Genomic DNA, 12,802 nt, shown 5'->3' with positions numbered 1-12,802 from the left:
TCTCAATTGTCTAGTGAACAATAATATGTAATCTGTGCACAAAAGTTTTTTGTAGTTTGCCAGATACTTTTATATTTTATGATTTGATATTCACTGCAGCCTTATGATACAGATATTAGTAGGATGCACTTTATTGATAAGGAAACAGAAGCTCAGAAAAAAGAACAAATGACTTACTCAAGCCACAAAGGTTGCAAGCAACAGTATGAAGACAGAACTCCTCTTTCCAAAAATTATTTTTTTTCCATAATGTTTCCCTGGAATGTGCTTCACTGCTTTTACATAGGCATACAGATTCCCTGGAGTAAACACGGCTGCTTTTGATTCTATCTTTGTCATACCATGACACTGCCAGTTTTCCCTACATGCAGCATCCTTGATGTTACAGGGCAGCAATATGCTTACGTCTGCTTGACTACAGACACTCACACAAGGAAAGAGAGGCACTCAGGCACTCATGCACAAGCACACGCTTCAGAGTTCCTCACAGGAGAGGATTACTTTTCGTGTGTCCCAATTGTACCTGCAGGATTTTAATTTATGGAGATGACTGAGTGATGACATAGATAGGCCAATGTAATTGAAAGATTTTTGTTACTTAGATTTCCCAATGTAAGTAGGAGGAGGCTCACCACATCATGCAGGGACACGTGGGTGAACACCAGGAGGCAGAAAGGAGTGAGTGGAAGCCATAGTCTTCACTGGCGTATCTGTGGGAAAGGCAAGGCAGGGCAGGCCAAACAGTTTAGAATGGGGTAGTTCGAATAATTCCAGCTGGTTTAGGGGGATAGGGCAGATCCCTAGTTGTCTGATACCTGGCTTCAGGTTAATTTAGAGCAGGGAAAATATTGGCTTGGTACATGAGAACTAGATAAAGGAAGTAGTTTAAGAGTATGGGCTCTGGATGGCAAGGAGGATGCAAAGAACTTTGGCCATTACTTTGGCCTTGTGATTAATGGATGCCAAATAGACAAATATAAATCTAAGAACATGGAACAGGGCAGTAGATTCAGAAATTGTGTTTTTTTAATATGGGGCTCCTGCTTTCATCTGCAGCATACCCTAAGTTTCTCCATGTTTAAGTCCTCTACTGCCAGGTAACAAACTATCTCAAAACTTAGTGGCTTACAGCAACTGGCATTCTATTTATTCATGGTTCTGTGGATCATAAATTCAGTTAGGGCTCAGCTGGATGGTTCTTTTGTTTGTTTGTTTGTTTGTTTTGTTTTGTTTTGTTTTTTGCTTTATATATGGTCAGTTGGAGTTAATCACTCAGCTGCATTCAGGTGGTGGCTCTGCTAGGCTGGAAAGTCCAAGAAAGGAGCTTCAGTCTCATGTTTGTTTACTGTCTTGCTGCTCCTCCACATGATCTCTCTTTCTCTACGTGGCTAGATTCAGCTTCTTCACAGTATAATGATCCCATGGTAGTTAGACTTCTTACATATGGTGGGTGGCTCTTAACAGGAAGTGTACCAAGTGGCAAAGGCAGAATCTTCAGTTATTTAAGGCCTTGTCTCATAAACTTTAAGGCACTGCATCACATTGTGTTTGTCAAATCAAGTCACAGGGCCACCCCAGATTAATGAGGCAGGGAAAATTATTTCTTCCTCTCTGCTGAATGGCAAATAATTTGTGGTTACCTTCAATTCACCACACCCATTGTGCCTCGTGAAAAACTGAGTCTAGATCAAAGTAACTAGCCAATCTAAAAGAGGGGCTATTAAACAGTTAAAACAAAACAGGCAAACACAGATGATAACAGATCACTTTCTGGAGATCCATAAGAACAAATTCAACATGATGCCAGATATTTTCTAAAATGTACAAAAATGGCAGAAACAAAACACGTGTATAAACTCTTGTATAATCACTGTGACCAATTATATTAAAATAACTAGGCAAGAGAAAAACTAACAACTATCTAGTGCAGCACACTGCAGGCAATTAATTCTATATTATGGCAATACAAAAGCCTATACATGAAGAATACAAAATACTTAATATAAAACATTAATTCATAAAAATCTTTCAGTTACAGAAAGCTGATTTTCCAGTTCTATATCTGGAACTATGACTTTATTTGCACCACGCTTTTTCTATATCATCTAAGAAACTGAAGCGTTGAGTCTCCTTAGAGAGAGAGAACAAGAGAGGGCAAAATTTGAATTTTCAACAATCTTATTAAGTGATATTTTGTGAGAAGGAGAGGTCTTAAGAATGTTCCTTTTTTATTTTAAGACATCAATATTATTTAAGGTATTTCAACCATAAGAATACATCAATTTAGTACATTAATAAACATGTAAAAATGTTTCCAGCACTTTAGTAAGCTGGAGAGGGCAAAGACAGGAGGGAGGAAGTTGTGCCTCTTCATTCCTCTCTCCGGGCCAGAGGTCTCTATTGCCCTCCAAGTGAGGTTTCTGTAAAAAGCAGTCCCAGGTGCACCTGGCTAAGAAGGGGGATGGGGGAAGTCTATGTGGGAAGAGATCTGGCTCTTGGCAGCATTCATGCAGTCCTCTCACAAATATTCTTTCCGAAGCTGTTTCTGTTCCTGGCTGTATATTTGAGTGCTGAGTTAGTTCACCCAGTCGATGTGTGCACACTCATCTGGTGGCTCAAGAATCATGGGAAATTTTCATGTTCAAGAGAATTTTACAGTCTGGATGCTTGATGTGTACCAGGGCACGGTTTGGAGCCTGAAACATGGTGGTAGTGAGTGCCTTGGACTTGTGCTCTTGCCAAACGGTGGAGTCTAAGCCACCCTTAGGGCGTTCCAACCCAGAGCTGTCCTGATAAATTTTACTGGCCCGAGACAAGTACTCCCTATGAGTACTTGTCACAGGGAGTACTTGTGTCTGCCCCCAGCATATTCACGTTAAGTGGAAAGGAACACTTAAGGGCCACTCGAGAAGGGGAAAGAAAATGAGGAAGGCGACATGCAGCTGTGAGCAGGGTGAATGGAGAAGGAAGTGCTGATATGCATTGGCACTGGTGGGAGAGCCTCACAGGCACCTGGAAGCTGGTTAAAATGAGCATTAAGATTCTACATCTTCTATCAACTGATACTACATACCTCTTCCTGACTGCTTCTGTTGTGAGTCAGTGCTAAGCTGCTTGTCTCCATTCCCTTTCTCCAACCAGGGAAGCACCTCCCAAAGTCACTGCTCAGTTCTGGGCAGGACATTTCCTGTCTTCCAGGGTCTCAGAGCACACTCAGAGGGAACAATAGTGGTTGCCTCGTCTGGTTTCCTCCCTGAATCCCTCTGCTGTGGGGTTGTAGGGAGAAAATTAGGGCAGCATCTGCCTAATCATCTCTGGTTCCCCACTAGACCTGCCTGGGCCCACTGAAGTCACAAGGGTCCAGCACATATTAATTATTCAGAGCAAGGGCATGGGCGGGCTTTAGAGTTAGAGAGGTTGGCATGAAGGTATAGCACCATCAACCTATTGCTTTATTAGGTTTAGATATTTACCTCCTGGGTCTCTGGCTCTAAAATGCCCATTCCCATGTCTGGTCCTTGTGTATGAGTCATTGTGACAGCCCTGCCAATCACCTGGCCCAGTGTCTGCTACAGAAAGTGTGCTCTAGGCCGGGCGCGGTGGCTCACGCCTGTAATCCCAGCATTTTGGAAGGCCGAGGCGGGTGGATCACCTGAGGTCAGGAGTTTGAGACCAGCCTGACCAACATGGAAAAACCCTGTCTCTACTAAAAATATAAAATTAGCTGGGCGTGGTGGCGCATGCCTGTAATCCCAGCTACTCGGGAGGCTGAAGCAGGAGAATCGCTTGAACCCGGGAGGCGGAGGTTGCAGTGAGTCGAGATTGTGCCATTGCACTCCAGCCTGGGCAACACGAGCAAAACTCTGTCTAAAAAAAAGAAAAAGAAAGAAAGAAAGTGTGCTCCCAGGAGTCGAACCCTGAGTACTCTTCCTGTATTAGGGCCTGGATATGAAAGGTGAAGCTGGACACTACCTCTGTCCCAGTCAGGCCCATCCTGTACTCTGAACTGTAAATGGGCATGATGGCCAGAGACCTACTTTCCACATTTCACATCCCTCCCCTCAATCCTTACACTGAATGTTTACGGAGCAGCTAGTAAACACTGCCAGGTGCTGAAGATAAAATTAAGAGTGAGAGTGGATCCCTGCCTGCCAACTTCTCAGGTGGCGGAGCTCATAGCACAGGAGAGGCCAAAAGCTCACATTCCTCCTATCTCTTTTTTTCACTGCTTATCCTTTCACCACTGTGATCTTCCCCGTGTCCCTGCTTGGGGCTTGGCCCTGTTTCTCTGCTCTTTCCCAGCCTCCTACTTCCATGGATGATCATTCAATTCTATCCTAAAGGACCGAATCGAATTTCTTTAAAAATCTATTCAGCCAGTTTTATTACATCAGTCATTGTTTCACAATCGAGACTGATCCATGGTCAGAGATAAAATACACTGAACAATTTTTTTTCTTTTTTTTTTTTCTTTTTGAGATGGTGTTTTGCTCTTATTGCCCAGGCTGGAGCACAATGGCGTGATCTCGGCTCAGGCAACCTCTGCCTCCCAGGTTCAAGTGATTCTCCTGCCTCAGCCTCCCAAGTAGCTGGGATTACAGGCGCCCACCACCACACCTGGCTAATTTTGTATTTTTTGGAAAGACAGGGTTTCTCCATGTTGGTCAGCCTGGTCTTAACTCCTGACCTCAGGTGGTCTGCCCCCCTCAGCCTCCCAAAGTGCTGGGATTACAGGCATGAGCCACCACGCCCAACCTTACATTTAACAATTTGAAGAGTATTTTTTGACTCTTTGTGCAGCGACAACTTCTGATTTTCATCTCAGCATCTTCACTCTGGGATGATTTTACTCGCCAAACATTAATGAAGCCTCTACTCTGGGCCAGAACTTTTCTAGGCATTAGGGATAGACCAGATAGCAAAAGCAGTGTTTGACTTATATATTCTAAAATGGAAGCAGATGATGAGCAAAGTACTGTATATACATACGACATGGTGGCCGGTAGCACAATAAATGTTATGTAGATAAATGAAGCAGAGTAAAGGGTTACAGATTGGGGGCAGAGAACAGGGTGCTCTGATAGGTCCGGTGGTCAGAAAAGTTCTCTCTGAAAGCAGTAGGAGGAGTCAGGCAGCCAACTGGGATGACAGCCTTGCAAGGCAGAAGGAATAGAAGATGCAAAGGCTATGAAGCCAGAACTGCTTGATGGGTGTGAGAATCAGCAAGGAGGACAGTGATTAGAGCACAGCAGAAACTGGGAAGAGGCACAGGATAGAAGGAGGGGCCTTGTAGGCCTTGGCTGCAACTTTGCTCTTTATTCTCAGGTGAAACTGTTGGAGGATTTTGAGCAGGAGAGTGAAGGGATCTTTTTTTTTTTCTTTTGAAACGGAGTCTCGCTCTGTAGCCCAGGCTGGAGTGCAGTGGCGCTATCTCGGCTCACTGCAACCTCTGCCTCCAGGGTTCAAGCAATTCCCCTGCCTCAGCCTCCCGAGTAGCTGGGATTACGGGCATGCGCCACCACGCCCAGCTAATTTTTTGTATTTTTAGTAGAGACGGGTTTCACCCTGTTAGCCAGGATGGTCTCGATCTCCTGACCTCGTGATCCGCCCGCCTCGGCCTCCCAAAGTGCTGGGATTACAGGCGTGAGCCACCGCGCCCGGCCCTAATTTTTGTTTTAAAGGATTCCCGTGGCTACTCTATGGAGAATATACTATAGGAAGAAAAGAGTGAAAGCTAAGTGATTAGTTGCAGCAGTCTGGGTGAGAAAGAAAGGCTAGGAATCAGGGTGGCAGTGGCAGAAATGACAAGACGTGATTGAATTGGCAATATATTTGAAAGCAGAGCCAACAATTCATGTTGGCTCTAGAATCAGGGATCCATTCAAAGTAGAAAAACAAAATTATTTAAAAACACAAACATCTTAACAGTTCATTTTTAAGTACAGAATAATACCCAGTGGCCAACGGCACTAATAGCAAGACAAGAAATAGAGAATCAAAGATATGTGGGATGCCTGCAATTGACTATTGGATGCTGATTTTGCAGAACTTTTTTATATCTTGTTACTTAGGTTTTGTGTGTGTGTGTGTGTGTGTGTGTGTGTGTGTGTGTATACCATATTATTTCCCTACTAAAGAAGTCACTGTTTAAATACTACCTTTTTCATGAAAGGCAGGACCCCCTGAGGGTCTTCATGATTCTAAAAGGAAGTGTGACTCCCACAGGGCAGCCAGCAGTGTCAATACTTCTCTGAGTGAGATTTAAATAAGAAAGAAAATGTGTTAATAAAACATCAAGCCAAGAGAATCTAGTGGCCACAGACCCACGAAGGAACACTGAGTTGTGCAAGCTACCTAGGTAGAAGGGTGGCTAATCCTTTCAGTTTGAACAAATTTACCTTCTCTGAGACCGGACTCAGCGCTCGCCAAGTCCTCTGCTAACGCAGGCCCCACAACTAGGAGCTAGGGGAGCCTATCCCAGCCTTTAACTGCCCGCCGAGAGACCTACCACAAGCCGGTGGTTCAGCGACCCAGCGCATCCTTTTCCTGGCCACGCCCTCTTTGTCTACACCCTTCCCATCCCGGCCACGCCCCCACGCCGCCGCGGCCCCCCCACTCCCAGCCTAGCCACGCCCCTCCCCCGTCGCGCCGGCGCACCGTCCGTCCGAATGGCCTCGTGGGCGGAGCTTGCGTAGCCTCCCGGACCCCGGCGCACACCGCCCCCCGCCCCCCGCCCCTGGCCACCAAGCGCCTCCGTGGACACGCACTTCCTGCGAGGGCTCCGTGCGCACCTTGGCCGAGCCGAACCGAGCCGAGTCCTGTCCTTCCAGGCCGTTCGCAATGGTGGATGAGTTGGTGCTGCTGCTGCACGCGCTCCTGATGCGGCACCGCGCCCTGAGCATCGAGAACAGCCAGCTCATGGAACAGCTGCGGCTGCTGGTGTGCGAGAGGGCCAGCCTGCTGCGCCAGGTACGTCCGCCGAGCTGCCCGGTGCCCTTCCCCGAAACGTTTAATGGCGAGAGCTCCCGGCTCCCCGAGTTTATCGTGCAGACGGCGTCTTACATGCTCGTGAACGAGAACCGATTCTGCAACGACGCCATGAAGGTGGCATTCCTAATCAGCCTCCTCACCGGGGAAGCCGAGGAGTGGGTGGTGCCCTACATCGAGATGGATAGCCCCATCCTAGGTGATTACCGGGCCTTCCTCGATGAGATGAAACAGTGCTTTGGCTGGGATGACGACGAAGACGACGACGACGAAGAAGAGGAGGATGATTATTAGGCCCTCGACCCTCGGGCCTCGGGGGGGAGGGCCCTGCACGCCGCCACCCCCTCCCCGCAGCCCTCACCCCGCCAGGAGCCACTGCTCTCCCCCTTGCCCTCCGGTCCCCTTACCTACCCGCGCCCGTCTGCTCTCTCTCTTCATTTCTCCGTAGTGCTTGTCTTTGTTCCAGGAATAGCGCTCCAGTTACCTGCTGCTGGGGTCGGGGCTGGAGCCTCACTCACTCGGAAGTGCTTGGAAGTGTCATCTACCCTGGCCATCCCCGGGATCCCTCCCCTGCTAATCTGAACTGTGTCCTGAACCCCAGCTATTGGCCAGGCCCCTGTTACAAACTGCGCAGACCACCCGTAGCCCTGCTGCTGCCACCTGCCCTGCTGCCAGGCTTACATCTTCCCAGAGAACTATGCTGCCACTTCACATCCACTCACCACATCCCACCTACAGACTACCACCTTTCGAGATCAGGACCAACCTGGAAAATGCCAGAGTTGGCTATGCCTTTTCAGACATTGATTTGGACAGCTCACCAACCCCTGAAGGGGCCGTTCAGCCTGGTTAGTTTTCTACCTACTCCGAGTGTCCTCCCCTGCCCCACCAGATTGCTGCAGGGGCGCGGTGTGCCTGGCAGCCAAATTGTTGACACTTCTTTTTTCCTATGCACTGGTTTTACACAGCTGTCATTTTTCTTTCAAAATTGCAGCAGTCCCACAGATGTGTGCATTTGGACAAATAGTACTTAAAAACAAAACAAACAAGCACTCAGCCCAGCTCCTCAATACTACCTGGAAAAAGCATTGGCATTATTTTCAATAAATATCAAGCACTAAAAAAAGAAATGATTGTCTTTTAATGGTTAAGTGCTATCACTGGCCTCTACCACTGTCACTCTGACTACCATTATTCCCGTGGAAATCAGGGAATACAACCAATCCTAGTATTCCCCGCTGTCATCTCCAGGCTGCTGGGGACAGCTACCTCAGGGCTTTGTCAGGGTTCTGATGCTCCCTTCACCAACGCATTTCTTAAAGCCCTGGCAAAGGGTGTGTTCTCTGGGTCCTCCAGGGTGGCGTGGTTAAGGGTTGGCTGAGCAGACGGCAAAGAGAGCAGTATTAATAATTAGACCATAACAATAGGCGTAAACCTGGACATATATATGTAATGCTCCTAATTCTCTGAGCTTTTGGATTCCTTAACACTGTGCCAGGGAAGTTCTGCCCCTTAATCCTTATTGCCTATGTGCAGCTGTTGAGTTCAGACTCCAGAGAGCCAACATAGTAGATTGTCACTTTCAAACTCCAAATAGCCAACATGTCACTTTCAGGTGCTCCAGCTAACATTAAGTCCCGGATCCTGGGCAAGTGCACCCATAAAGATATAGCCTGATCTTAACAAACATTTCGTTCTCCTTGGACAGACATCCTTAGAATTCCCACTCATAGATGTGTCCCAGATTCCTCCCTATGGAAATTAGCAAGATGCTTGGTTATCTCTTAAATCAGACCTTGTACTGCTATCTAGGGGCTATGCTGAGATCTCTGGGCCTGGAGGGTTCAGAGCAGTGAAGGGGGTGGCTGCTGAGAAGAAGCTGCATACCTGTGTGAGGCCATTGCTCCAGGTTAAGTCATTGAAATGTTTAATGCAGAGCAGCTTGGTTGGGGATTTGAGAGGACTGCCTCTTAGAAAGGTTTAGGAGGATATGAGGGGTTCAGAGTTCTCTTTTATATCTGTCCAGATGTCCTCATTGTACCATGTCTGGAGCCAACTTGACTTTATAACCTTTAATTAATTTAGATAACACATTTCCGTACTGTTTAAGGCCTTTTGAGGCAAGATATTGTATTTGTACTGGTAAACCTCAGTGTTGATTAAATGAGATATGGGTCTTCATATTAATCACCTCATAGGTGCGGATTAAATGAGATCATACCCATGAAGCATTTAGAACTTTCCCTGCTACATGGTGAGCACTCAGCAAACCATGGGCTGTTACTCCTGGGCCAGGGAACAGAAGTCTCAGAAAGCAAGTCTCTGACTCTGAGCCTGGCTTTAGTAGGAAAATGTCAGCGTGAAGAGGAGCAGAGCAGGTTCAGGGAGAATGGAAATGAGAGCATGATAAGACCCCATTTACTTTTTGGAGTCTTATATGAAGCAAGAAACAAAGCTGTTTTACGTGGTGGACAGGCAAAGTTCAGGGTAGGAGTTATATCTCACCCCTAGGATAGCTGTTTCTGGAGGGTGGGGACAGGGTTGCGTATGACTTAATAAAAGAGGCTGAGGCTTGGGTGGAAATGAGATCTGGGGCTCTTCAGGGAGCTGCCGCCTCCAAATCTGAATCAAGGAGACAGCTGGTTATTTAGAATTCATTGATCACTTCTCCCAGTCTCCTTGGAAAATATACAAAACCCCTTGGAAGAGAGAGATTATATTTGAGACATAATATGTGTGAGGCCAGATAATTACACTTTCTTCCTAACTAGAAAGGCCTTGAATTGGGGATAAATGTGGAAAAGTGAGCAAGATCTAAAAGGTAAAGGATCCAGTGAGACCAAAAGTCATTTATTCCAAACTGATTATGGCCCAGTTATGCTGAGTGGAGTTACAGAAACATCTTTGAATAAAATGTGATCTCTGCCTTCATAGCGAGTCCAGTCTGCTGCTTTTACTGTGCCCTGGGTCAGAACTTTGATGATTAGTTACAGGAAAGGGCCAGGAAGAGAATCTGGGCTGTGATTAGATCTGGGAATGACCTTTCTGGGGTGGAAGTTGAGGACATATGAGTAGGTGTTCTGTGGAGGAAGGGAGGTTCAGTAAGGATGCCATGCCAAGGCAGCATCTGAATGGCATCTGGGAGAACTAGGCCAGGGAGCTTCTGTGATCTGAAGTGTACATTTCCTGAGTATGTGTGCATGTGCACATGAGCTTGCTGTGACCCAGTATGTGTGTGCTCTGTGTGTGTGTGTGTTAAGTGATGTCCTTCTTACATCATGGACAAACAGGTTATGCTGTGAGATGCAGAAAAGGGATTCTGGTTACTTTGGGGGCAGATTCTGCAATAAAAGCGCAGATACTGGCAAGGGCTCCACCACCCAGGGAGGAATTCATGATAATGGCATAAAGCATGGCAAAAAAGAAGGAAGAAGTAGAAGTATGTCTAAGGATAAAAGTGCCACTTTGATCAAAACTATTAAAAATAGGTAGGAATGCTGAATAAATATGAACTTAGACCCTGAATTCTCATTTTGGGCGTAATAGACTTGAAATGGCCGCTGAAATTATACTATCAATGAAATGAAATTAGTCATATTAAATGTCGTAATCATTTAATCGTATTAAATATACCAATATATCTTTGGACTCTTCTATTCATTTGAATAGATAAGCACTGCCATCTATTAAGTCCGTGTTGCTGTATCCTGCAGAATGGTATATAAAGCTAGAGGTACTTTATGCACATGTATATTTGATTATTTTCTGCTATTAAAGCATGGCTAAAACCTCAGTAATTTGGAAGTAGGCAGATTAGAGGGAGAAGTCTTGTTGAAGTTAGTGGGATATTTGCATAAAAATGCGCTTAAATTTTTTTCTTGTTTTTTTGTTTTATTTTGTTTTGTTTGTTTTGTTTTTTTTGTTGTTGTGTTTTTGTTGTTGTTGTTGTTGTTTTGAAACGGAGTCTCGCTCCGTCGCCCAGGCTGGAGTGCAGTAGCACAATCTCGGCTCACTGCAACCTCTGTCTCCTGGGTTCAAGTGATTCTCCTGCCTCAGCCTCCCGAGTAGCTGGGATGACAAATGCCCGCCACAGTGCCTGGCTAATTTTTGTATTTTTAGCAGAGATGGGGTTTTGCCATGTTGGCCAAGCTGACCTCGAACTCCTGACCTCATGATTCACCCGCCTCGGCCTCCCAAAGTGCTGGGATTACAGGTGTGAGCCACCGCACCCGGCCTCTTGGTTCTTAAAGTGAGTAAAGCAAAGCTAATAAAGCTGTATTAATTAAAGGTTCTGAGAATGTTTTCCTTGATGGTAAGGGTGGGATAATTGTATGAAGAATCTTTATTATTTGCTTTGAAATATGGATTTTGCTAAGTCAGGGTTTAGTGTCTGGCAGCAGTTTGCATTACTGAATAGCTCAAGTATATTCCCTGCAGTCTTAGCCCACGTAGTTCTAAAGGTAGGTACAATGGTGTCCTTTGACAGTGCTGGTAACCCTCCATCTCCCTTCATGAACATCTGATCATCTACCTTGCATTTTTTTCTGTTGCCTAAAATGCCTGTTAGAATGTGTTCCTTTGTCTTCAAATGTTCTATTGTACACAGAATGTTCTATTTTTTTTTATTCTGTTTTGTTTTGTTTTGTTTTTGAGAGAGAGTCTCACTCTGTCGCCGGGGCTGGAGTGCAGTGGCGCAATTTCGGCTCACTGCAACCTCTGCCTCCCGGATTTAAGCGATTCTCCTGCCTCAGCCTCCCAAGTAGCTGGGATTACAGGCGCCGCCACTACTCCCAGCTAATTTTTTGTATTTTTGGTAGAGACGGGGTTTCACCATGTTGGCCAGGCTGGTCTCGAACTCCTGACCTCATGATTCACCCACCTCGGCCTCCCAAAGTGCTGGGATTACAGGTGTGAGCCACCACACCGGCCTAGTGTCTTTTTTTTTTTTTTTAACCCTGAGAAAGATTGAAGGAATGGCTTGCTTGAAAAAATTATGAACACCACAGCCAGTTTGTTCATAGAGCAAAAACTGTTCCATGGATGAGTTGGGAGGAGGAGTGGTATATTAATCCCATCTCCAAAGAAATACTTGAGACTGGGTAATTTACAGAGAAAAGAGGTTTAATTGCCTCATGGTTCCCCAGGCTGTACAGGAAGCATGATGACTTCTGGGGAGGCCTCAGGAAACTTCCAGTCATGGAGGAAGGCTAAGGAGAAGCAGCATGTCTTACATGGTGGAGCAGGAGGAAGACAGAATGAGGGAGTAGGTGCTACACACTTACTAAATAACCAACTCTCCTGAGAATTCGCTCATTATGCAGTACCAAGGGGGATGATATGAAGCCATTCATGAGAAACTGCCCCCATGATCCAATCATCTCCCACCAGGCCTCACCTCCAGCATTGGAGTTACAATTCAACATGAGATTTAGGTCAGAACATGGAACCAAACCATATAAAATGGAGAGGTGCTGAAAAGGGTGTTTCAGAATAGGTAGATATAGCAACATTGTTGTACCTCCCTTTTTCCCCTCAGAGGCTGGTATCTGACATATGGTCAGTAATACATTATATTTCTTATTATTCTAGCCACAAAATTTACACACCTCCACTCCCCTCTCTAAATGACCAAGGATTTCATCAGCAAAATTGCAATAATGTAATTCTTACGTTTTAGCCAAAGTTCCTATACAGTCGGTGTAATTGAATGGACCAGTCAGTTCAGAATCAGTCAGTTAAAGATATAAAACTGTTGCCGGGGCTATTTTTATATGCCCCACTTTAAAGCTTCAGATTTAAAACAAATAACATCAGT

The 12,802-nt window shown here is 45.7% G+C and overlaps 1 protein-coding gene across 1 annotated transcript, besides 1 other annotated feature; it reads left to right on the top strand.

The window, feature by feature from the left end:
- Window positions 1–6,732: 6,732 nt before the first annotated feature.
- LDOC1 (LDOC1 regulator of NFKB signaling) lies at window positions 6,733–10,627 on the top strand. The gene has a single exon (NM_012317.4). It carries the CDS (start codon window positions 6,841–6,843, stop codon window positions 7,279–7,281), a length of 441 nt encoding a protein of 146 aa, NP_036449.1. The 5' UTR covers window positions 6,733–6,840; the 3' UTR covers window positions 7,282–10,627.
- Window positions 7,169–7,668: an enhancer, noted in NCBI's record as "H3K4me1 hESC enhancer chrX:140270379-140270878 (GRCh37/hg19 assembly coordinates)". NCBI's record gives its function as "activates a minimal SCP1, AML or CMV promoter by ChIP-STARR-seq in naive H9 embryonic stem cells {active_cell/tissue: H9 hESC(naive)}" and the evidence as "EXISTENCE:reporter gene assay evidence [ECO:0000049][PMID:30033119]".
- Window positions 10,628–12,802: the final 2,175 nt, after the last annotated feature.

Source organism: Homo sapiens, chromosome X (assembly GCF_000001405.40).
Source record: "Homo sapiens chromosome X, GRCh38.p14 Primary Assembly".
Lineage (NCBI taxonomy): Eukaryota > Metazoa > Chordata > Mammalia > Primates > Hominidae > Homo > Homo sapiens.
The sequence above is the reverse complement of the archived record's forward strand: the minus strand, read 5'-3'. Positions and strand labels throughout refer to the sequence as shown.

Excerpts from the sequence above, each read along its gene's own strand:
- LDOC1 (NM_012317.4), top strand. The coding sequence starts at position 6,841 with ATGGTGGATGAGTTGGTGCTGCTGCTGCACGCGCTCCTGATGCGGCAC.